The sequence below is a fragment of the Homo sapiens genome, chromosome 13 (genome assembly GCF_000001405.40).
Source record: "Homo sapiens chromosome 13, GRCh38.p14 Primary Assembly".
Classification (NCBI taxonomy): Eukaryota; Metazoa; Chordata; class Mammalia; order Primates; family Hominidae; genus Homo; species Homo sapiens.
This window is the reverse complement of record NC_000013.11, coordinates 80,320,553-80,345,541: the sequence shown is the minus strand read 5'-3', so window position 1 is coordinate 80,345,541 and position 24,989 is coordinate 80,320,553. Positions and strand designations below refer to the sequence as shown.

Sequence of the window (24,989 nt, the reverse complement as noted above, 5' to 3'; positions counted from 1 at the left end):
GCCAGCAGAGAAATTCTGTTTCTGCCTTGTTATAGAACTTCAGTTCACATCAGACCTTGCATAAACTGTAGTCATAATGTGCATGCATCTCACAGGAGTATTCATTAATTAACCAGTAAAAATCACCAGGTGGATCCCAGTTGAATACAAGGCCTCCGGAAAAAACCAGACCCGCAGGAGCCTGGAGCTCAAGGTCGACTCTGCAACACCACCCCTCTTACCCTGAGAGAACCCCAGAGCTTTCCCCCAGTTTAGTTAGGGATAAAGAATATATCTCCAAAGAAGGTTAGATCCAGAGATAACTGTTTCCAGTCCTTCAAGCAATCTAGATAAGAACTCAAGTGGTCTATTTTGAATTCCTTTGCATCTTTTGTTACAGCCACTCCCAATTCCCTTCTAGAGGCATTATCAACAGAATTTGGGAAATTCAAAAGTGAAATGACTAGAGTCACAGTTGTCAAAACAAAAGGTCCATCATTACAAAACCCTTTGTCTCAGGAAGGTCCCTGAAGAGGCCATGCATAGACTAATTTTACTATTGCAACTGGGCTGTTAGGAGAGATAATGGTTGAAAGCCCCAAATTGTTAGTCGTGGAAGCAGCACACACTGTTACATTCTGTGCCATCTTCAAATAGATTGCCTTGGTAATAGAACTAACAAACTAACCAAATAGCTATTCATTCTTCTTTTTCTCAAGAATGTGTGATATCATTGCAAGATATCAGTACTAGGACTAAACCTATTAAGGCCAAGTGGTTTGTGCAATCCCGGAAAAACGAGCTACGGTTGCTAAAAGATGCACTCTCCCGTTACTACAACATAAATTCAAAGCTTACACCAGCCAGCAAGTGCAATCTTACAAATATCTCACTTCAACTCACTCAACACACCTACTAGCAAAGAAGCATGTCTATTGATGCCTTCAACCAAAGATTGGAAAAAACAAAATGCACATATTTTATGTACTGTCTCATTGAAAAAAGTTGAGATTATAGTTGTAAAATGAAGTAATTATAAATAAATGAATACAGAATATAAAATGAAGCCAGAGATGACAGATCCCAAGTGTGTGACCAGAGTCCTATTTAACGACAAGTACTAGGAAGGTATGTTACTTGGTGAGTATTAGAAACTTGGGGCCAAGCGTGGTGGCTCATGCCTGTAATCTCAGCACTTTGGGAGGCCAAGGTGGGTGGACCGCTTGAGGTCAGGAGTTCGAGACCAGCCTAGCCAACATGGTGAAACCCCATCTCTACTAAAAAAATTACAAAAAATCAGCCGGGCTTGGTGGCGGATACTTGTAATCCCCGCTACTTGGGAGACTGAGGTAGGAGAATCGCTTGAACCCGGGAGGCGGAGGCTGCAGTGAGCCAAGATCGCACCATTGCACTCCACCCTGGGTAATAAGAGGGAAACTCCGTCTCAAAAAAGAAAGAAAGAAAGAAACTTAGCAGTGAGTTATTGGTGCAGCATGGATTTCCATAGATTCTGTATTTTCCAGCATTAGGCAAATGGCAACACCTGTTCATGTGTCAGAGTTGTCTCTCTAGAACGTTCCACAACACAGTTGAAAACAGGTTTGTGTGTGTGTGTGTGTGTGTGTGTAGTGTTAAGTTTTGCCTTACATTCTATCATACTTCTGAAAGTATCTTCCAAAATTAGTCTCAGTTATAATTTTGGAATGTAACATGAGAATCAGTTTGGGGACACATTACAATAGCTGCACTAGACATTTCATTGTGCATGCATCATACATACACAAAAACATAGTTCCTCTTTTGGATTATAATTCTCTAAACTTTGGAGGCACAATATAGTAGCTTGATACTCTTCAGTCTCTGAAAAAGAGTAACAGTTGCAGTAATTAATATAAAGACTAAGGAGTAAATCAGAAAGAATCCAAAGGGTTCTTGTGTTTATCTTGAACTTAAGTTACAGGTTAAATGTTTTCCCAGTCAGCAAACTGGAGATTGTGAGGAAAGGGGGTGGGAGGAAGAGCTAGATGACATGAGATTCTTTATAGCTCATGGAAGATAAGATATAAATTTCTAGATTTTCCCCTATTAACTCCATAAAAATATAAGGTTCTCTAAACAGCTGGAAGTTTCTGATCTAAATTCCATTGCATGCTTTGATCCCTAACGATGTATCTTCGCAAAGTTCCTGCAGCGCTGGGAGACCAGCAAGGCACAGATGTCTCCTAAAAAGCCGCCATCGAGTGCAGGAGTTTGAAGAGGCGAAGCGACGGCGTTGCTTTCACCTGCTCTGCTCGAGAGACTTGCTGGCCGCACACCGGCAGCACGTTCCTGCCTAGCCTTGCACACCCAGGCTTTGACCCTCCCAAGCAGACAGGAGGGCAAGCTATCTTCTGTGTCGTTTATATTAATATCTTTGTATTCATTTTAAACCAGCCGGCCTAATGCACACACGTTTTGGAAGGTAACCCAGCCTGTCCGCGTCGTGTCCCGGAGAAGAAAGCAGCCTTAGCCCCGCGCCGGGCGGGCGCCCCCTGGTGGCCAGAGGGGCCGCGAGCGCAGCGGCGCCTGCGTTCACCGTCGGCTCAATGGATTCGGGCGTCCGGCGAGCGGCTGTGGCCAGAGAGGCCCAGCTGTTTTGCGCCCGCAGTCCCGGGACGCTCGGGAGCAGGCCGTTGTAGCCTCGTCCACCCTCACCTTAGGGGTCGGGGGACGTAGGCCAGCGCCCGGAAATAACGCATGCCACTTCCCTTGCCATCTCTGGTTCCAAATCCCTAGAGAAAGAGGAGAGCCCTAGAGAAACATGGAGAAGTCAGGGTGAGACCGCAGCGAGGCAGAGAGCGCGCTGGGGACATTCTAGAGCAGGAGCTCAGAAGAAGGCAGCTAGTTCCAGGGTAGCTGCAAATGGATTGGGTTAAAGCTGGACGAGTGAAGCACCATGTTTTCCTAACACTGCTTTCAAGAACACCCCGCATGGGGCAAGATCGCAGGTGCTATTCGGGAATTTTGACCGTACAAGCAGGTACTTCCCTGTAAAGTAAAAGCATTCTGTAAGTCGCTCGACAGAATGCAATATTAGGCGTGTGTATGCGCAAGTTTTAATTTTCCACTGGTGCTCCCACGTGAAGGCACATTTCTTAGTAAATGAACGGCAGCTAGGACAGTGCATATGTATGCATTTTCTATCTTTATTTTTTTTTTGTAAATGGGAAAGAATAGTGCACCTTCAACATGGACAACAGAATCTTGAGAAATGTTCTAGGTGGCAAGAAAAGTGGGAAATGAAGGATGACTTTTAGTTAAGGGAAGAAGGAAATCTGCAGTGAGCCAACCCTTCCCTCCCCCCCGCCCCCCCATTTCGGAAGCCCATGCTGTCGCCCTGAGTAATCTTGTTCCTGTCTATTAATGAATTAAGTTAAAAGGCTTAGACTGTAGACTTTAGCTACTGCATGAAGCAAAATAGTAAGGAAGCTCTTCAAAAAGCCTCCATTCATAGATAACCCCCCTTAAAAATGAAATTCTAATAAACGGAAAAACTACAAGTCGACACAATCAAAAGCAAATCCCAGCAAGAGCAGAAGGTACTTGAAACTCGAATCTGCATTCCGTTCCTCCCGTACAAGGCTCGGAGGTGGGGGAGGCGGTTTGTGCTGGTGCCTGGTGTATAATCGGGTTAATCCAGTAGACAAAGAATAAACCAATAGCCCTCCCACCTCACTTCCCGCTCCCCTTCCCCTCCCCCTTCTTCTCCCCCCGCCCCAGCCCCCGTCACCCGCTCCGCAAAGGGGAACAGAAAAGGGGAGAGGTAGACTTGAAATGGATTCTGGATAAAGTCTTAAAACCTGCAACTTGTTTTTCATGCTAACACTGCGTGGCCCAGATTAGTCTTAAATGTTCATTCCCCTTTCCTGGTGGCAAGGAGAAAGTTCCCTAAGTCAGCTCGAGCCTCTGGCTCGTCCTCATTGCCTCTGGGCAAACCTTAAGGTCAGTGTTTCCTTGAAACTAGATAAACTGACCCTGCAGTGCCCAGCCCGGCCCCGCGGGCGCCCCGCGTGACGGCGCTCGGGCGGCAGGACCGGCCTGGGGACGCGCGGGGCGGCGCGGTTGCCCTTTTGAATGCCTCCTGCGGCTCGGAGCGCTGGCGGGCGCTGGAGTGTGAGTGAATGTAGCCCCGCGGAGCCAATGAGCTGGGACCGGATGCGATATATCCTCTGGGACAACAACTGCTCTGTTCCGCCTCGGATCCACATGACGCCATTTACTGCTGCCGCGGCCGCCGCAGAGCTCCCTGCCTCCTCCGGAAAGGCGAGGGCGCAGGCCAACGGCGAGCCCCCCCCGGGCGGGCCCCAGACCCTCCTCCTCCTCCTCCTCCTCCTCTTCCTCCTCCTCCGCACCCACCGCCCCCGCCTCGGCCTCGCTGCCTCGCCTCCACAACGCCCAGTCTGCACCGCCGAGAGCTGCGCGCCGCAGCGCTAGCGGAGGAGAGGGGCCGGCGGAGCGCGCAGCGCCCAGGCCCCCGCGCCCGCCCGGCCCGGCCCGGCCCGCGCCCCCGCGCCGCCTCCGCTACGACGCGGCCCCGGCCGCACCACTTGGCGATCTGGCTTTAGGTTCTCCGTAAGGCCGTTTTCTTTTCCCATTCGCTCATCTGCCAGGAAAAGGGACTTGCCGTTGGCGCTTCGGCCTCTTGTTCATTGAGAAAAAAGAGGAAATACTCCGCGTGCGCTTGTAGAAGGGGAGTCGTCTCCAGCTCCGAACCCCGGAGTGTTCATCAGCGGGGAATCTGGCTCCGAATTCTCTTTTTTTCTCCCGCCGATTGCTCGGAAGTTGGTCTAAAGCAGAGGTTGGAAAGAAAGGAAAAAAGTTTGCATCGAGACTGGATTTATTTGCACATCGCAGAAAGAAGAGAATCCAAGGGAGAGGGGTTGGTGCAAAGCCGCGATCACGGTGAGGCACGTTTGGCTCTTCCCCTCCTGGCGCCGCGGCCGGCGCGTTGTGGGCAACATGGAGTAGGTGCAGCCGGACCAGGAGTTGGGTCCGTCTCTCCCCGAGCCTCCCTTTCTCAAATCCCGCAGGGTCTTCGCGAGGATCCGGGGCGCTCCCCGCGGACCTGCCTCGCCCGGGGCTTGGGCTCGGCCTGCCTCTGCGGGGACTTCTGTATGCACCCCGTGCAGTGTCCCCGACAGGCGACCCCGCGCGCCCGCGCTCTAGGGGGTTGGGACGGAGGACAGCTAGCCTGAAGTCTGCTCCCAGCCGTGCACTGGCCGCGAATTCGGCGCTGAGAGCGGGAGAGGGAGAGAAAAACACTTTGTATTTTCCAGGTTGCCTTTGCAGGCGCCCGCATTTCTAACCTGTTCTTCCTCTTGGTGGAAGGCAAAGTCCAGGGAGAGGCTGTCCCTAGGCGGGGCGCTGGTGGGGCTGGGGGACACAGGTTGCCCGCCTCGGGGGCAGGAGACTTCCAGGGTGAGAAAAAGGCAGGGTGCCGGGTGGAGGGAGTGCCCGCCTCTGCTCCGTGTGGACAGTCTAGCCCGGAGCGGGTGGGAGCGTCGCCCTGCCTGGCGCCGGGTCTCTGCGGTTCGGAAGTGCAGCTCTCTCTCTTCCGTTCTTCGTGGTCAGCCTGGGTCACACTTATTTTATTTTTGGAAGCTCGGGCTGACCCAGCGCAGGAAGAAAGTCATCAAGCGGTCGCGATCATTTTCCATTACCTGAAAGTAGGTGGCAAAATAGGCAATTTTTTATTTCCTTTTGTTGTTGTTGTTGCTGTGTTTTAATTTGGATTCTTGTGTGTTTTTTACAAAGCAGTTTCTGTGTCCGTTTGCCCCACCCTAGAGCTGAAGTTCTTTTCCCCTAATCCTCAGTCTGATCACACACTGTTCTTAATGGGGGTTTCAAAGCACTTTCAAAGGGGAGGGGGGACTGGGAAAGAGAAGAGGGGCGGAGGTAGGGAGTCCAGCTTTGAAGAAGGAGGCCAGGGATCGGATCGGCAGAAATCACTTAAAAAATAAAAACAAAAAAGCCCCCTTTTATTTCAAAGATGCTACTTTGACTGCAAGCAAATCTGCACCGAAAGTTTACAGCTCCGGGAGCTGGGTCCTGCGCGCCCGGAGTGAGCAGTGGGACCCTGGAAAATGCCCTTTTTTTAAAAAGCCATTTTTCTTTCACTTTAAGAAATATGATATCTTTTTTTTTTCTCTCGACCCAAAAGGAGATAGGCGTGTGCAGATTACAGGCAATGCCCCCTTCGGTCAGTGCAGCGTGGAGTCGCCGTGTGTGCGTGGGTTGGACTTGTGCGTCCTGGCTGCGTGTCTCAGGCAGGGCTTTCGTGCTCGCAGTGTCGGGGTGGGAAACCTGTGCCGGATGTCCGAGGGGCTTTGCAGAAAGCCTGGCAGTGGGCGGCGTGACCTCTGCCTGGGGGCGGAGTGGCTCCTTGGGGCTGGAAGGCAGTTCTCTTGAGTTGGGGGAGATCTTAGCTGGGGAGAGGGAGGCGGGGGAAGTGTGCTCCTGCATTTCGTGACACGTACCCTTCGGAGGCGCCCGCGGCCCCCGCCTGTCTGAGTCTGGGGATCGTAAGCAGGGGGGCAGCCTGGCCCATGGACAGCGTCAGTCCGCCTGGAGAAACTCCCCTGGGGATCGGCTGTGTCCCACCTGCTGGGGACGGTGTTGGGGCACAGAGAGGCGATAAACTAAGTGAAAGCAAAGAGCAGCGTTGTCTTCTGCCATTCTTTTGGAGGTGAGGAGATCCGGTTTCCAGCACTGCCTTGCTCCGAATTGGGAGACGTTTGTCACCTGCCTTGTTCGCTGTGGCCTCTATTCTAAAGAGCGGAGATCGGATAAAGGTCCACTTTTGCCTGTTTTATACTTTTTATTGTCATATAGGCTTGGGAAAGGGGGTGATCGTTTTGAAATTGAAGAAGGACTGCAGTTTAAGGAATTCCTTGACAGAATGCTAGATACGAAATGTGACATTTGAATTTTTAAAACGCTTTTCTGGTTATTATCACTTCGTTTGTGTTCTCAATTAGCAGGGAGAACAACCTTTTAGCTGCAGAATCTAAGGTGGTGTTCTAGGCTATCAGACTGTAAAATAGTTAATTCTTAAGTTGTTGAGAAGTTGAAAATAAATTCATGTCTTCTTCTTGTTAAGTTTGCTTTAATGTGTTTCTGGCACCTAATAGGATTTGATTTGCTTTTAGTTCTATAACTTTGTGCTACTATACAATTAATAAAAAATGGCATGATTGTTGTAGAATTTGGGTATTTACTTTTTTGCATGCCATATTCATTCTACCTGGTTTGAAAAAGTTACAGAATGCCGTATACGTCACAGTTAAAGTGTTTGATGTAAAAGTAAAAATTAAGAACCAAGAAAGAATCTTCTAGGTTGCATTATTAACGCTTAAGGCAAAAATGACTATGACAAATGGAAACCTATTTCAAATTTTGAAAGGATTTTCAACTTTTGAAAACATTGGTAGCAGTGTTATATTCCAGCAATACTTCCTTGCGATTTTTACGTTGAACCTGAACCTTACAAATTGTATGTTTCTTTGAATAAGGAATTCTTACTTAAGTGACTCAAAGATCAGTTTTGTATTGTTGTACATCACAGGATTACAGAATTGTCAGTAGCCCGCCGTAATTTTTACTTTTGGGTACATGCGTTGTTGATCATATGGCTAATACCTCCCTACTGCCATTCCATTTCAAATCCTGTTTCTCTAGGGAAAGTGGGAAGTGAGGAGTCAATTCAGGTGGGTGGAGAGTGGGAAGTATCTTAGAGTATCAACCGTTCTTTCCTCTTGGCTTCCTCAGGAGTTCAGATGTGTTCTAAGCCTGCTGGAGTGACCACACTTCCAAGACCTGATGGAGGCCAGAGCTCAGAGTGGCAACGGGTCGCAGCCCTTGCTGCAGACGCCCCGTGACGGTGGCAGACAGCGTGGGGAGCCCGACCCCAGAGACGCCCTCACCCAGCAGGTACATGTCTTGTCTCTGGATCAGATCAGAGCCATCCGAAACACCAATGAGTACACAGAGGGGCCTACTGTCGTCCCAAGACCTGGGCTCAAGCCTGCTCCTCGCCCCTCCACTCAGCACAAACACGAGAGACTCCACGGTCTGCCTGAGCACCGCCAGCCTCCTAGGCTCCAGCACTCGCAGGTCCATTCTTCTGCACGAGCCCCTCTGTCCAGATCCATAAGCACGGTCAGCTCAGGGTCGCGGAGCAGTACGAGGACAAGTACCAGCAGCAGCTCCTCTGAACAGAGACTGCTAGGATCATCCTTCTCCTCCGGGCCTGTTGCTGATGGCATAATCCGGGTGCAACCCAAATCTGAGCTCAAGCCAGGTGAGCTTAAGCCACTGAGCAAGGAAGATTTGGGCCTGCACGCCTACAGGTGTGAGGACTGTGGCAAGTGCAAATGTAAGGAGTGCACCTACCCAAGGCCTCTGCCATCAGACTGGATCTGCGACAAGCAGTGCCTTTGCTCGGCCCAGAACGTGATTGACTATGGGACTTGTGTATGCTGTGTGAAAGGTCTCTTCTATCACTGTTCTAATGATGATGAGGACAACTGTGCTGACAACCCATGTTCTTGCAGCCAGTCTCACTGTTGTACACGATGGTCAGCCATGGGTGTCATGTCCCTCTTTTTGCCTTGTTTATGGTGTTACCTTCCAGCCAAGGGTTGCCTTAAATTGTGCCAGGGGTGTTATGACCGGGTTAACAGGCCTGGTTGCCGCTGTAAAAACTCAAACACAGTTTGCTGCAAAGTTCCCACTGTCCCCCCTAGGAACTTTGAAAAACCAACATAGCATCATTAATCAGGAATATTACAGTAATGAGGATTTTTTCTTTCTTTTTTTAATACACATATGCAACCAACTAAACAGTTATAATCTTGGCACTGTTAATAGAAAGGTGGGATAGTCTTTGCTGTTTGCGGTGAAATGCTTTTTGTCCATGTGCCGTTTTAACTGATATGCTTGTTAGAACTCAGCTAATGGAGCTCAAAGTATGAGATACAGAACTTGGTGACCCATGTATTGCATAAGCTAAAGCAACACAGACACTCCTAGGCAAAGTTTTTGTTTGTGAATAGTACTTGCAAAACTTGTAAATTAGCAGATGACTTTTTTCCATTGTTTTCTCCAGAGAGAATGTGCTATATTTTTGTATATACAATAATATTTGCAACTGTGAAAAACAAGTTGTGCCATACTACATGGCACAGACACAAAATATTATACTAATATGTTGTACATTCGGAAGAATGTGAATCAATCAGTATGTTTTTAGATTGTATTTTGCCTTACAGAAAGCCTTTATTGTAAGACTCTGATTTCCCTTTGGACTTCATGTATATTGTACAGTTACAGTAAAATTCAACCTTTATTTTCTAATTTTTTCAACATATTGTTTAGTGTAAAGAATATTTATTTGAAGTTTTATTATTTTATAAAAAAGAATATTTATTTTAAGAGGCATCTTACAAATTTTGCCCCTTTTATGAGGATGTGATAGTTGCTGCAAATGAGGGGTTACAGATGCATATGTCCAATATAAAATAGAAAATATATTAACGTTTGAAATTAAACTGAGCTGTTTTGTCTTCTTTTATCTTGTTTCTTTCAAGTGTAAGAAACTACATTTTATGTTAAGGGTAACATTTTAATGAAATAGTTAATCACTTGTCTATAGAATTATTTTATGATTGCCGCTTTAAAGTAAGCTGGATTTGATGATTTTTCAGAGACAATTCTAGCAATCAAGAGAACATTTAACTTACTATCTGTACTTATATGGGAGCTGATTTTAGCTATATCATTGTTCTTGTTCCCCCACCCCCTTTTTTTTTTTTGCAGATTATCTGACTTGTGTTTGTTCTGCAGAGGTTTTTTTTTGGTTTTTTTTTTTAAATCTTTGATTCAGGAGACTTTCCTTAAAAATTAACAGTTAAGCTTTTTCTTTATATACAGTATCAAGGATTAATTCCATGAGGATAATTCAAAACTAGTGAAATGAGTTTAGCTCAATAAACATTTATTGAATGTCACCTGTGTCTCAGACATGCAGTATTCACAGATCAGTTCTTAAAATTAAGGCCAAAAATATTTTCTTGACTTAGCTGATCGTGGCAGTGTTTTTTCCAGTCTGTTTAATTTTTGACTCTGAAACATCACCATTTTACCTAATTCCTTATGTTAGAAAAGACATGAAAAAAAGAACTTGCTTTGATTCTGGTATTTGGTATCATAAAATTTGATCTGATATTGGTCTTACTCAAGACAAAGAAGGCCAATTTAAGGCCCTGACTTATTCAATCAGATTATTCAGAAAATTGTTGCTCTGGGAAAAAGATGCAGCATGAGAGTCAGTGTGCTTGGAGCTGTCTTTTAGAAGCAAAGGTACAGCAAGCTGCTGCAAGCCCATCTTGACAAATACTAGGTTTTAAGTCACTTGATTAGTCACTTTGTGGCTGATGTTTGTTTTTTTTTTTTCCAAAAGTTTGTACTTTTGCTGCCAAGAGTCACTGGAAGTCTAGAAAATAATTTATCTGTCATTATTGTTTAATCTCTTGTTTCCTGTTCTGAGGCTCCTTCTTAGCACAGGTTGTCTTCTGTTATGTTTTTTAAAATTGGCTTTCAAGGAACTATATAGCCTCCTACATTAAGACATTGCTCTAAGGACCTTCAATTTCCTCTGACTTCCTCCAAGAAACATAGTTAACTTAGAAATGATTTAAGCTTCAACTTTGAGTTACTGAATGTTTCAATTCTAACACTCTTAAAACGTCACCCTGGTGGTCTAAGGAAGAATTCCGTTGCTGGAGAATAGGGTAGGGTTTCTTATTCATTATGTAGTTTTCAAGATGTGTAAAGCACAAAAATTTTGACTGATTAGGTTTGTTCATCAAAAACTGCCATGTGCATTGACAGAGCTCTTTTTGGTATAAAAATTGTGAGTTAAATATTTTTTTTTCACCGCATAAGTGGCTTTCAAAGTATTCTTAGACATATTGCATCAGATGTCATTGAGTGTTTATTGAAAAAGTAAGAACCTCTTCCCATAGTTACTGAGTCAGAATCTGATGGTGTGGCCTAGAAATTAGCATTTTTAATCATTCTACAAGTGATTATGTGCAGTGTGGCAACTACTGACCTAGGAATTGCTTTCTAACTTGGTTTTCTTTTTTTTTTTTTTTGAGACGGAGTCTCGCTCTGTCGCCCAGGCTGGAGTGCAGTGGCGCGATCTCGGCTCACTGCAAGCTCCGCCTCCCGGGTTCACGCCATCCTCCTGCCTCAGCCTCCCGGCTAGCTGGGACTACAGGCACCCGCCACCACGCCCGGATAATTTTTTTGTATTTTTAGTAGAGACGGGGTTTCACCGTGTTAGCCAGGATGGTCTCGATTTCCTGACCTCGTGATCCGCCCGCCTCCGCCTCCCAAAGTGCTGGGATTACAGGCGTGAGCCACCGCGCCCGGCCTCTAATTCAGTTTTTTAATGGGCTCTGATCTCTAAAGTATAACTCATTGGTTTGAATATTGAGCATAAAGTGATAGTCAACTGAAATTTGAAGAGGATTTGAATTAAGTATATTAAGTCCTATGAAAATAATTTGTTTAAAGATAAATAAGAAAATTGGAGCCCAGGCATGGTGGCTCACGCCTGTAATCCCAACACTTTGGGAGGCTGAGGCAAGTGAATCACTTGAGGTCAGGAGTTTGAGACCAACCTGGCCAACATGATGCAACCCCGTCTCTACTAAAAATACAAATTAGTGGGCATGGTATCAGGCACCTATAATCCCAGCTACTTGAGAGGCTGAGGCCGGAGAATTGCTTGAACCTGGGAGGTGGAGGTTGAAGTAAGCCAAGATCGTGTCACTGCACTGTAGCCTGGACAACAGAGTAAGACTCTGTCTTAAAAAAAAAAAAAAAAAAAAGAAAATTGGATTTTTCAAGAAGCTTCCAACTAACCTGTTAAATGTTGACTTTATCTATATACCAGCATAGAATTAATTTTCAAAATATGGAAGATTAAATATTTATGTCTAATAGATTAAAAGCAACTGGCACTCATTCACTGCATTAAAAATAATTTCTTATTTTTATTTTTATTTTTTGAGACAAAGTCTTGCTCTGTAACCCAGGCTGGAGTGCAGTGGCGCCATCTCAACTCACTGCAACCACTGCCTGCCGGGTTCAAGAGAGTCTCCTGCTTCATTTCAGCCTCCTGAATAGCTGGGATTACAGGTGCGCACCACCATGCCCGGCTAATTTTTGTATTTTCAGTAGAGATGGGGTTGCACTATGTTGGTCACGCTGGTCTTGAACACCTGTCCTCAGGTGATCTGCCCACCTCAGCCTCCCAAAGTGCTGAGATTACAGGCATGAGCCACCGCACCCAGCAATTTTATTTATTTTTTAGGTTATTATTTTTTGAGGCAGAGTTTTGCTGTGTTGCCCAGACTGGAGTGCAGTGGTGGGATTTTGGCTCACTGCAACCTCTGCCTCCCGGGTTCAAGCCATTCTCCTACCTCAGCCTCCCAAGTAGCTGGGACTACAGGGGCACGCCACCATGCCTAGCTAATTTTTGTATGTTTAGTAGAGATTGTGTTTTGCCATGTTGACCAGGCTGGTCTCGAACTCCTGATCTCAGGTGATTCATCACACTTGGCCAAAAATAACTGTTTTAATGTTGCAAATTATCTCACTTGGGAAAAAATATGGAGGAATAACCTCAATTTCTTAATCTCTATTTAAAGTTCATGAAAAATTATAACATGATAAATTTGTAATCCAATGGCCATTATTTTGATGTGATAGAGTAAAAGTATGATGATAATGCAAACATAACTGCTAAGCATTTAGGGGAATTTTAATCATTTTTGTGGTTTCTTGCTTTTTAATTTTTTTTAAACCTGTGGATGCTCTATATTTGAGATTCATATAAGAATGACAACTTGATTGTTGTTACTTAAAACATTCATTTATGTGTTTTGAGGAGGAGATTTTAAGGCCCTGCCAAATTTCTGCCATGTTGTAGCTTGCTCTGGGGATTGTCTGTGAAAGAAGAAAGCCAAAACCCAGGCAAGTAATCCCAACCAAACTTTTTGCATAACTTCTTTCTTCAGTATACTTCTGTCTCAAGGACTACTTGACTCCAGGATATGTAAGTTAAGGTACTGATGATGTCAGATAAATGAATTTGCTCTTGCACAGTGCTGTAAGGTATTTGATAGGCAGTTGATGGGTTTGATGTAATTTATTAACTTTTAAGCATTTAGGTCAAAATTTTCAAAGGTTTAATGGTTTTAGAGTTTCACTTGAAGTCATACCCACAATTGGCCATTTGTCTTCCTCTCCTAAATGTGCACAAGGACCAGGGTATAAACACAGAAGTTTCAACTTTGAAAATGGGCTGAATTTGTACAGCTCAAAAACAGGTCTGTCAACTTGTGGAGAATATTTTACATTGTTTTCATAAAGAAAACATATAATAGTAGGTTATTAACTAGTCACGTCATTATTGTATCAGTATCCAGTCTCTGGTTTGCAATATCCGTTAAGGCAAAAGTCATGTTAATTTCTATTTTAATTTGGTCTAATGCCTCACTTCTTTATGACATACTAAGGGTGGGTCTCCATTGAGTGGAGATCAGATTAGAATTTTAACAAGGCCTATCTGATTTGACATAAAACTGATCATCAGAGTAAAGCTATACATCTGGAGTATTTCATCATGGGTTTGGCCATTCACAAGAGGATAAGAGTAAGACTGTATATGTCCTATACTGTAGATTTTATTTGTACACCACACTGCCACTCCCTTTTCACCACAAGAGACAACTGTGTGAATAATGAGAGGCAAAATGTGAATACCGCTGATGATACTGCACCTCTGGTCAAAATTTAACTTAATACATTCATTTAATTTACAATCAAAGAAGAAAAAAGGGAGATAGAAATATAGCAAAAGAGGAAAAAAGTAACATTTAAACTTTTTTCCACGCCTAGCAAATATTTTACATTTTTATTTAATACTACATTTTGATTGATTGACTTAAATAATTTTTAAAAGTCAGTCTTATTTGGCAACTCATACTTTTTTTTTTTTAAATAAACTGTTAAAGGAGATTAGAAAGAAGCCTTGGCCTCTGGCTTGGCTAGATGAGACATGTAAGGCTTCAGCATCACTTATGAATTTATTTCTCAAAACAGTTGCTAATACACAGAGATGAATAAATAATTTGACTTAATACAAGGACTCACTTGGAAGAGAATTTGGGCACAGAAATATAAATTTGGCATTTCAACCTAGTTTTTGGATGCCTACTGCTTACAAATTACTGGGCTAGTTGATCTAATGCAAAAGGAAAGCGGTAGCAACTCTAATGCAAGACAGGACTTAGAAGCACAAGCAAGATGCTATGAGAGTGCAGAAATTGAGGGAAACGTTGATGCATTCTCGTTAGTTGGTTTGATCGCCATGTCTTTGCAATGGTTTCAGATACTTAAATACCTCAAGAGTTTTTGCTAAGACAGTTGCAACAGAATTAGCATCACTCATTAAATAAAACTATGCTCACCATCCCATATCCACATCCTAAAATGAATTGTAGAGGTGTTTAATGAATATGTGAACAACTACATGTTGCTATGTGCATTCTTTTTTTTTTTTTTTTGGAGATGGAGTTTTGCTCTTCTTGCCCAGGGTGGAGTGTAGGGGCATGATCTCAGCTCACCGCAACCTCTACCTCCTGGGTTCAAGTGATTTTCCTGCCTTAGCCTCTTGAGTAGCTGGGATTATAGGCATGTGCCACCACACACGGCTAATTTTGTATTTTTAGTAGAGACGGGGTTTCTCCATGTTGGTCAGGCTGGTCTCGAACTCCTGACCTCAGGTGATCTGCCCGCCTCGGCCTCCCGAAGTGCTGGGATTACAGGCGTGAGCCACTGCGCCCAGTCGCTATGTTTATTCTTAATTTTAAGATTCATGACTCACTAAAATCTTCCCTTAAAAAAATACAAATAAAAAAATACTTTTTCAAGATGTAGAACTAAGAAACAAGTTGAAAAGATCTGTCTATTCTTGTTCTTCCAGTTCTTGCTGGAATTTACCTTTTGCCATTAACCCATAGTTTTAGCTTGCTTCTGAACCTAGAGAAGGATGAATTGGAAATAATCAAGTTAGGGGGGCAAAAAAAAAAAAAAAGTGTAAATGATATTGTGAAAAGAAGTGGTTGAGCTTTGGAGCAATTCTGCCCTTGTCAAAAAATACCCGAGACCTGGCTGCTCAGGCTCACATGCCTCTCAAAACCTATGTGACCCTCTCCAGTTCCTAGGCCAATGCAACTTTCATTTTTGGAACAGTTTTTGCTCCAAATAAAATCTAGTTTATTGACTTGCACCAATAGTGTTTACAGTCAAGCAGGGTTCCAATAAATATCATGTTTGTATCATCTCTCATTTCTCCAGATTCCTAGTAGGCATAGTGCACCCATCCTGGCCTCAAACGCAGATTTCCTCCTCCAAAGTAGTCATAAAATAGCCAAAATATATCTGTAGCTACTCACACTAGAAGGCCGCTCCTGAGTTTCCTATTAGAAAGTCATGTTTGTAAGTTCAGAACAGCATTTAAGTTTGCATATCTAGGCTGGGTGTGGTGACTTATGCCTGTGATCCCAGCACTTTGGGAGGCTGAGGCCGGCGGATCACAAGGTCAGGAGGTTGAGACCAGTCTGGCCAACATAGTGAAACCCCGTCTCTACTAAAAATACAAAAAATTAGCCGGGTGTAGTGGTGTGTGCCTGTAATCCCAGCTATTCGAGAGGCTATTCGGGAGGCTGAGACAGGAAAACTCGGGAGGTTGCAGTGAGCCGAGATCATGCCATTGCACTCCAGCCCAGATGACAGTGCAAGACTCTGCCACAAAAACAAAACAAAACAAAACAAAAAATTTGCATATCTAATGGCCACTGTGAACATTATAAAATGTAGTGACCAAGCAGCCTAGCATGTATCAAGCAATAGCACATACAAAGCCTTTGGATAAATTTAGTACCTGCTCTGTTGGCAAAGCTAATGGCTAGGATGCCCCAAGAGATGTTTGTCTCTGACACATGACTCTAGTAGTGAGTAACTGACTCCAGGAACATGGGCAACCACACAATCAACATTTGCATTTAGGTCTTGATGTCACCTGGACTCTGACCTACACACCATTAGGATAGAGCCTAATTGATTTAGTTTTGTTTGAACTGTAAGTGTAAGCTTAAACTTTGGAAATACTGAAAATATGAATTATTTTACAGAGTACTGGTTTACTTCAAACCATCTGTGAAAAGTCACATGATGTGACTCTGATAATGTGTCATCTGTTTCTTTGCCCTTTTACATGAACAACCAAAACTATAGGCCCAGAGTGTAATTACTTGTCACTAATTTAGTATTTATTGTGTATCTTCAGTGTAAAAGGTATTATGGTAGATAGGGAAAAAGCATTCGTTAGATCTATGACTATGAACAAGCAAATGAGGAATGACTGCTCATGACCCTTTGGAAGCTGATTATCTAGGAATTAGATTATAAATCATAGAAAATGACTGGTAGCCGGCCGGGTGCAGCAGCTCATGCCTGTAATCCCAGCACTTTGGGAGGCCAAGGTGGGATCACAAGGTCAGGAGTTTGAGACCAGTCTGGCCAACATGGTGAAACCCCATCTTTACTAAAAATACAAAAATTAGCCAGGCATGGTGGCAGGCGCCTGTAGTCCCAGCTACTCGGGAGGCTGAGGCAGGAGAATCACTTGAACCCGGGAGGCAGAGGTTGCAGTGAGCCAAGATCGCACCACTGCACTGCAGCCTGGGTGACAGAGCAAGACTCCAACTAAAAAAAAAAAAAAAAAAAAAAGACTGGTAGAATTGTCTGCTTCCTGCCTTGGGTGATTTGACCCGGCAGGGGACGTTTGTCGAAGTCTGGAGACATTTTTGGTTTTCACTACTGGGGGCTGGAGTGGGAAACGACTGGCATCTAGTGGGTATAGGCCAGGGATGCCGCTAAACATCCTACAATACCCAGGACAACCCTCCATAACAAGAATTATCCAGCCCAATATCCCAATAATGCTTAATTCGAGAAACCCTGCTGTAGCTGGGCGTGAGGGGCTTATTCCTGTAATCCCAGTGACAGGAGGACTGCTCGAAGCCAGCAGTTTAAGATTAGCTTGGGCACATAGAAAGATCCTGTCTTTAAAAAATATAATATTTAAAAATTAGCCAGGCAGGGCCGGGCGCGGTGACTCACGCCTGTAATCCCAACACTTTGGGAGGCTGAGGCAGGCGGATCACCTGAGGTTAGGAGTTCGAGACCAGCCTCAACATGGAGAAACCCCGTCTCTACTAAAACTACAAAATTAGCTGGGCATAGTGGTGCGTGCTTGTAATCTCAGCTACTCGGGAGGCTGAGGCAGGAGAATTGCTTGAACCCTGGAGGCGGAGATTGCGGTAAGCCGAGATCGTGCCATTGCACTCCAGCCTGGGCAACAAGAGCGAAACTCCGTCTCAAAAAAAAAAAAAAAAGAAAGAAAAAAAATTAGCCAGGCATAGTGGCATGCATCTGTAGTCCTAGCTATTAGGACTACATGTGAAAAATTTTTCTATCAGAAAAATGATCTGTATCTGTAAAATATGTATGTCCAATGCACGTGCTTTCCTATAGTGCTTTAAGTTCATTAGCCTTGGAGACAAGCCCCTGTGCAAATGCCCTTCTCTGTTACTTGTTAGCTAATACTTAAGAGGCTGAAGTGGGAGGATCACCTGAGCCCAGGAATTTGAGGTTGTGGTGAGTATAAGACAGAACAAGACCCCCTCTCTGAAAAAGAAAAGAAAAAAGAGAAAAGAAATAAACCTGCCACAGAGAAAGCTGAGAGAGTAGTGAGGAGAAGGTGATATATTCATATATCCTTCCGACACACGGCAAGAAATGCTGTCGGCTGTGTGAGAGAAAGAGGTCAAAGGACAGGTGGAGATTACTGTGACCATAACTTTGGAATTTCCATTCTAAGTGCGAAGCCTCTAAAATTCTATGAGAAAAGGGGGCCAGGCGTGGTGGCTTACGCCTGTAATCCCAGGGTGAGGCAGGCGAATCACGAGGTCAGGAGTTCGAGACCACCCTGGTCAACATGATGAAACCGCATCTCTACTAAAAATACAAAAATCAGCCGAGTGTGGCGGCACACGCCTGTAATCCCAGCTACTCGGGAGGCTGAGGCAGGAGAATCGCTTGAACCTGGGAGGCGGAGGTTGCAGTGAGCCGAGATCGTGCCATTGCACTCCAGCCTGGGCAACAAGAGCAAAACTCCGTCTCAAAAAAAGAAAGAAAAGAAAAATGACCTGTATCTGTAAAATATCAATATATGTCCAATACACCTACTTTCCTATAGTGCTTTAAGTTCATCAGCCTTGGTGACAAGCCCCTGTACGAACGTCCTTCTCTGTTACTTATTAGCTGTGTGGCCAAAGGCAAGTTACTCAACTTTCCCAAGCCTAACATCTTCATCTGAGAGATAATACTTCCTGCTCGAAAGGTTACTGTGAAGGCTGAAGAGATGTGCGTGAAATATTAGCCTTTGTGATTGGTACAAAGTAAGTACTAAAGAAATAGTAACTCGAACTTACTTCAGTTGAATTCCACCCCCTATCAGTTCCCCTTGTCAGGCACAGTTTTAAATACTGAAGGTATAAGACATCATCTGCCTTGCTGGAAGTTGTCTGTAGGACAACTACATATGTATTTACTATAGAGTATAAGAAACATGATAAAAGACTTAAAATACATATGAAGGGGAAGTGACTAACTCTATCTTGGGTGTAGTAAGTGGGATCAGGGAAGTTTCTTAGGGTAATGTCACAAAGGGACTTGGATGATTTTCCAAAAATGGAGTGGTAGGTAGGAGTCCAGACAGCCAAGCATGGATGAGAAAGGGATTCGTTCTTGAAAAAAAGAAGAAAAAAAGTGATATGAAGCTGAAAGAATTAATAAATTTCAGATCAATGTTTATTTATAAGAGATTTAAGTTTCTAAATAATGGCTTCTAGTAATTACACACACACACACACATATACAAAGAGATGTGCATTTTTAGAGTTTGTTGATGTTATAAATGTTGTTTATTGATGTTTCTTTTTTTTTTTTTTTTTGAGATGGAGTCTCGCTCTGTCGCCCAGGTTGGAGTGCAGTGGCACGATCTCTGGCCCACTGTAAACTCTGCCTCCCAGGTTCATGCCATTCTCCTGCCTCAGCTTCCCGGGTAGCTGGGACTACAGGCGCCCACCACCATACCCAGCTAATTTTTTTGTATTTTTAGTAGAGACGGGGTTTCACTGTGTTAGCCAGGATGATCTAAATTTCCTGACCTCATGATCCGCCTACCTCAGCCTCCCAAAGTGCTGAGATTACAGGCTTGAGCCCCCGCGCCTGGTCTTTTTTTTGTTTTGTTTTGTTTTGTTTTGTTTTTTTTGTTTGTTTGAGATGGGAGTCTCACTTTGTCACCAGGCTGGAGTGCACTGGTGCGATCTTGGCTCACTGCAACCTCTGCCTCCCGGGTTCAAGCTATTCTCCTGCCTCAGCCTCCCAAGTAGCTGGGACTATAAGCACGTGCCACCTCGCCCAGCTAATTTTTGTATTTTTAGAGACAGGGTTTCACCATGTTGGCCAGGATGGTCTCTATCTCTCGACTTTGTGATCCACCCACCTCAGCCTCCCAAAGTGCTAGGATTACAGGTGTGAACCACAGCGCCTGGCCTGATGTTTCTTACTGGACATAAATTTGTTTTGAATACAAAACTTAGTCAACTGTCCCATAAAATTCACAAAACTCCTTTGTTGCCTAAAAAACACACAAAATGGACTGGGCATAATGGCTCATGCTTGTAATCCCAGCACTTTGGGAGGCCAAGGCAGGAAGATTACTTGAGCCCAGGAGTTCAAGACCAGCCTGGGCAACATAGTGAGACTCACTCAGTCTCTATTAAAAAAAATTTTTTAAATAAATAAGAAATGAAAACCCTACTTTTAGAATGGTTCACTAAGTAAAATTATTAGTCTACCCTAGTTTTAATTAATCTGTGGTATATATATTTTCCTTTTTCTCTTTTTTTTATTTTTTTTTTTGAGATGGAGTCTCGCTCTGTCGCTCAGGCTGAAGTGCAGTGGCGTGATATGGGATTACAGGCATGAGCTACCACGCCCGGCCAATTTCCAATTTGTGGTACATATGTTTTCATTTATTCTAAGTTATTTGAAAAGTTTTGGAGCAAACATGAGTATAAACCTTTTTTTTTTTTTTTTGAAATGGAGTCTTGCTCTGTAACCCAGGCTGGAGTGCAATGGCGCAATCTCGTCTCACTGCAACCTCCACCTCCTGGGTTCAAGCGATTCTCCTGCCTCAGCCTCCCAAGTAGCTGGGATTACAGGTGCGCGCCACCACGCCTGGCTAATTTTTTGTATCTTAGTAGAGATGGAGTTTCACCATGTTGGCCAGATTGGTCTTGAACTCCTGACCTCGTGATCCACCTGCCTCAGCCTCTCAAAGTTCTGGGATTACAGGTGTGAGCCACTGCACTCAGATGAGTATAAACCATTATAAGTAACAATCAATTTTTAAAAGTTGTATTATTGATTAAAGATATATTCAGAAGCCCTTTTTTTCCTTTCCTCACTCATCTTTCATTGTTGATAGGTTCTAACATGTTATTTTCTGCCCACTCACCTAAGTAATTGACTTTAAAATACACTTCTACTGAAAAAAAAGACATAGGTAATTCCATTGGTAATGCAATGAAATTTTTTTGTATGACAAGTAACTCTAAATTGGATTATCCATTAATAAGATAGAAATCTGAAATGTGTGTGGATCTATTATTGTTGATTATTACAACTATCTCAGTCCATTTTCTGTTATTATAACAGAATACCTAAGACTGGGCAATTCAGCCAGGCACAGTGGCTCACACTTCTAATCTCAGCACTTTGGGAGGCCGAGGTGGGTGAATCACCCAAGGTTGGGAGTTCGAGCCCAGCCTGGCCAACATGGTGAAACCCGTCTCTACTAAAAATACAAAAGTTAGCTGGGCATGGTCTGTAATCCCAGCTACTTGAGAGGCTGAGGCAGGAGAATAGCTTGAACCCAGGAGGCAGAGGTTGCAGTGAACCGGGATCACGCCACTGCACCCCAGCCTGGGTGACAGAGTGAGACTCAGTCTCAAAAAAAAAAAATACTGGGCAATTCATAGGCAATTCATCAAGCAAAGAGGTTTATTTGGCTCACTGTCCCTGGAAGTTCAAAATTGGGTGGCCACACCTGACAAGGACTTCATGCTACATCATAACATGGCAGTTGGCATCACACGGTGAGAGCACAGGAGACAGCAGTGAGTGAATGTGTGCAAAAGAGACACAATACAAGGGGCAACCTTGCTTTTATTTATTTATGTATTTATTTTTGAGATTGAGTCTTGCTCTATCACCCAGGCTGGAGTGCAGTGGCATGATCTCGGCTTTTTGCAACCTCCACCTCCTGGGTTCAAGCAATTCTCCTGCCTCAGCCTCCCAATTAGGTGGGATTATAAGTCCCCATCCCCACGCCCAGCTAATTTTTGTATTTTTAGTAGAGATGGGGTTTCACTATGTTGGCCAGGCTTGTCTCTAACTCCTGACCTCAAGTGATCTGCCCACCTTGGTCCCCCAAAGTCCTGGGATTACAGGAGTGAGCCACTGTGCTTGCCCACAGCCTTGCTTTTTAACAACCTGTTCTCTCTCTCTTGGTAACTGATCTCAGTAACTGAACTCATTCCCTGAAGATGGCATTAATCCCTTCATGAGGGTGGATCCTTCATGACCCCAAAGCCTCTTAAAGTTCTCACTATCTTTCAACACTGTTATATTGGAAACCAAACCTCAACATGAATTTTGGTGGGGACAAAACCATATTCAAAGCATAGCAACTATCTATAAAATATTAAATGTGTAAAATTTATAACATGACTTAATAGGAAGAACACTAGCTATAGAACCGTAGGCCAAGTGTCTTCATGAGCAAATCACTTAACTTCTCTGTGGTTCAGTTTCTTCCCTAAAAATGGTAGTTGTAATATATACTTCATGAGTGATCTGATAATTAAAAGAGATACTCCCTTTTAAATAAAGTACCTTATTAAAGGGAACTGTTAAATGGATATATTGATAATATAGTTATGTTCTTTAATGGATTATTATTTTTCCACAGAGAATGTATGCATGGGTGTATATACATGTATGTCTCTACATATATAGATTTTTGCAATGTTCCTACTAAAAGAAATAGCCATGTTAATTAACTTATGGACTAGTTTTATCCAATGTTTATCTACTTTGAATGCACTAACAGAAGAACTTTAAGAATTCATTCATAGTCCCAAGTAGTACATATTTCCATTAATAACTTCCCAAATGGAAAATAATTCAGTAGATAATAAAGGTATTGGCTGGGCGTGGTGGCTCATGCCTGTAATCCCAGCACTTTGGGAGGCTGAGGCGGGAGGATCACGAGGTCAAGAGATTGAGACCATCCTGGCCAACATGATGAAACCCTGTCTCTACTAAAAATACAAAAATTAGCTGGGCCTGGTGGCACGCACCTGTAGACCCAGCTACTCAGGAGGCTGAGGCAGGAGAATTGCTTGAACCCGGGAGGAGGAGGTTGCAGTGAGCTGAGATGGCGCCACTGCACTCCAGCCTGGTGACAGAGCGAGACTCTGTCTCAAAAAATAATAAATCAATAAATAAGTAAATGTATATTGAAGGTGTTGCAGGAAGAAAGAGCATAAATAATAACACATCAAAATGTTATTATCAATTGAGTGTTAGAGATATAACAAAGTTACTCAATTCTAGGATGAACATTTGTATTTTCATTTGTGCATCTCTGAAATTAGAAGGCATCTTGCAATCAATGGTGTTTTATAATTGCCATTGGCTAGGCAACCGGTATTCATGACATAATTTTTCATTGTTTGTTGTGCTTGAAGCTGATCACAGTTATTCATATTGTCCCACTTCAAGTGAGTTAATATGCATTATCACATTTAAGTTTACTTACACACTTTTTTTTTTTGAGACGGAGTCTTGCTCTCATCGCCCAGGCTGGAGTGCAGTGGTGTGATCTCAGTTCACTGCAACCTCCACCTCCTGGGTTCAAGCAATTCTCCTGCCTCAGCCTCCTGAGTAGCTGGGATTACAGGCACCCGCCACCACGCCCGGCTAATTTTTGTATTTTTAGTGGAGGGTTTCACCATGTTGACCAGGCTGGTCTCGAACTGCTGACCTCGTGGTCAGCCTGCCCCGGCCTCCCAAAGTACTGGGATTATAGGCGTGAGCCACCGTGCCCAACCTACTTACACATTTTAATTGTTGTTTAAAATACCTTCGAGGCTGGGCGTGGTGGCTCACACCTGTAATCCCAGCACTTTGGAAGGCCGAGGCGGGCAGATCTCCTGAGGTTAGGAATTCCGGACCACCCTGGCCAACATGGTGAAACACCATCTCTACTAAAAATACAAAATTAGCTGGGCGTGGTGGTACGCCCCTGTAATCCCAGCTACTCCGGAGGCTGAGGCAGGAGAATCATTTGAACCCAAGAGGCAGAGGTTGCAGTGAGCTGATATCACGTCATTGCACTCCAGCCTGGGCAACAAGAGTGAGACTCTGTCTCAAAAAAATTAATTAATTCATTAATTAAATACATAAATAAATAAAATAAAATACCTTCAAATGAAAATGTATATGCCCAAAGTCAAGAATATTTAATATTATGTTATTTGGCTTAAATTTAATAGTAAGAAAACAAATATCTGTTATTGGAGAAACGAATGCAATCCAATTTTTCTTGCAAAAAAACAACTAAACTCTTTATCGGACCTAAGAAAGGGAGAGGCCCACAGTAGATGAATAGATGAGAGAAATTTCAAGTCAATGATAAGCTGGCATGACCAATTTATGTATCTCAAATGGCTAACACTGAGATTTTGTCATGAATTTATCAGCAGTACTTTTTATTTTCTCCGTAGTTCAAAAATAATGAAGTTTCTTACAATCTGTTGCATCTTAAATGTGTAGAAATACATAGTCATTTTGGATATTCAGAGAAAGGGATGATGGTCAACCTGGATACTGAGGACAGATAAAATTTTGTCCGAGTCTTAAAAAATAGGTAGTGAGGAGGTGTTCTGGAAGGCCAAAAGTCAGGATCGAGCAAAATCCTGTTCAGGAGACAGTGAATGGATCAGTCTGGCAGAAGTGTACATTCATGTAAAAGTGAAATGAAAAAGAAGATTGGGGTGGACGGTGGCTCACACCTGTAATCCCAGTACTTTGGGAGGCCAAGGCAGACTGACTGCTTGAGCTCAGGAGTTCGAAACCCCGTCCCTACAAAAAAAAAAAAAAAAAAAATTAGCTGGACGTGGTGGCACGCGCCTGTAATCCCAGCTACTCTGGAGGCTGATGGTGGAAGAATTGGTTGAGCCCAGAAGGCAGAGGTTGCAGTGAGCCAAGATTGCGCCACAAAATAAAATAAAATAAAATAAAATAAAATAAAAGTTTTAAGATTGTAAAGATAGGCCACGTGCACTGGTGGCTCAGGCCTGTAATCTCAGCAGCAGTTTGGAAGACTGAGGTGGGTGGACCACCTGAGGTTAGGAGTTTGAGACCAGCCTGGCCAACATGGTGAAACCTCATCTCTACTAAAAATACAAAAAATAGCTGGATGTGATGGTGAGCGCCTGTAATAGCAGCTACTCAGGAGGCCGAGGCAGGAGAATTGCTTGAACCTGGGAGGTGGAGGTTGCAGTGAGCTGAGATCAGGCCACTGCACTCCAGCCTGGGTAACAAGAGCAAAACTCCATCTCAAAAAAAAAAGAAAGATTGTAAAGATAGGTTTGGTCTCAATTCTTTACTATTATTTATTTATTTATTTAATTTTA

At 43.7% G+C, this 24,989-nt stretch overlaps 1 protein-coding gene across 4 annotated transcripts, besides 6 other annotated features; it reads left to right on the top strand.

The window, feature by feature from the left end:
* Positions 1,794-2,592: an enhancer, noted in NCBI's record as "H3K27ac-H3K4me1 hESC enhancer chr13:80917085-80917883 (GRCh37/hg19 assembly coordinates)". NCBI's record gives its function as "activates a minimal SCP1, AML or CMV promoter by ChIP-STARR-seq in naive H9 embryonic stem cells {active_cell/tissue: H9 hESC(naive)}" and the evidence as "EXISTENCE:reporter gene assay evidence [ECO:0000049][PMID:30033119]".
* Positions 1,794-2,599: a biological region, named in NCBI's record as "H3K27ac-H3K4me1 hESC enhancer GRCh37_chr13:80917085-80917883".
* Positions 2,410-2,599: a silencer, noted in NCBI's record as "silent region_5430". NCBI's record gives its function as "represses an Ori minimal core promoter by ATAC-STARR-seq in GM12878 lymphoblastoid cells {active_cell/tissue: GM12878}" and the evidence as "EXISTENCE:reporter gene assay evidence [ECO:0000049][PMID:35858748]".
* Positions 3,999-4,048: a silencer, noted in NCBI's record as "silent region_5429". NCBI's record gives its function as "represses an Ori minimal core promoter by ATAC-STARR-seq in GM12878 lymphoblastoid cells {active_cell/tissue: GM12878}" and the evidence as "EXISTENCE:reporter gene assay evidence [ECO:0000049][PMID:35858748]".
* Positions 4,279-4,468: a silencer, noted in NCBI's record as "silent region_5428". NCBI's record gives its function as "represses an Ori minimal core promoter by ATAC-STARR-seq in GM12878 lymphoblastoid cells {active_cell/tissue: GM12878}" and the evidence as "EXISTENCE:reporter gene assay evidence [ECO:0000049][PMID:35858748]".
* On the top strand, positions 4,416-9,566 carry SPRY2 (sprouty RTK signaling antagonist 2). Of its 4 annotated transcripts, none has more exons than NM_005842.4 (2): positions 4,416-4,920; positions 7,786-9,566. In NM_005842.4, exon 2 carries the CDS (start codon positions 7,837-7,839, stop codon positions 8,782-8,784), a length of 948 nt encoding a protein of 315 aa, NP_005833.1. In that variant the 5' UTR covers positions 4,416-4,920; positions 7,786-7,836; the 3' UTR covers positions 8,785-9,566. The 4 variants fall into 4 exon arrangements, with proteins under 4 accessions (NP_005833.1, NP_001305465.1, NP_001305467.1 ...); NM_001318536.1 differs by lacking the exon at positions 4,416-4,920 and adding an exon at positions 5,434-5,684; NM_001318538.1 differs by lacking the exon at positions 4,416-4,920 and adding an exon at positions 5,883-6,703.
* Positions 6,563-6,612: an enhancer, noted in NCBI's record as "active region_7860". NCBI's record gives its function as "activates an Ori minimal core promoter by ATAC-STARR-seq in GM12878 lymphoblastoid cells {active_cell/tissue: GM12878}" and the evidence as "EXISTENCE:reporter gene assay evidence [ECO:0000049][PMID:35858748]".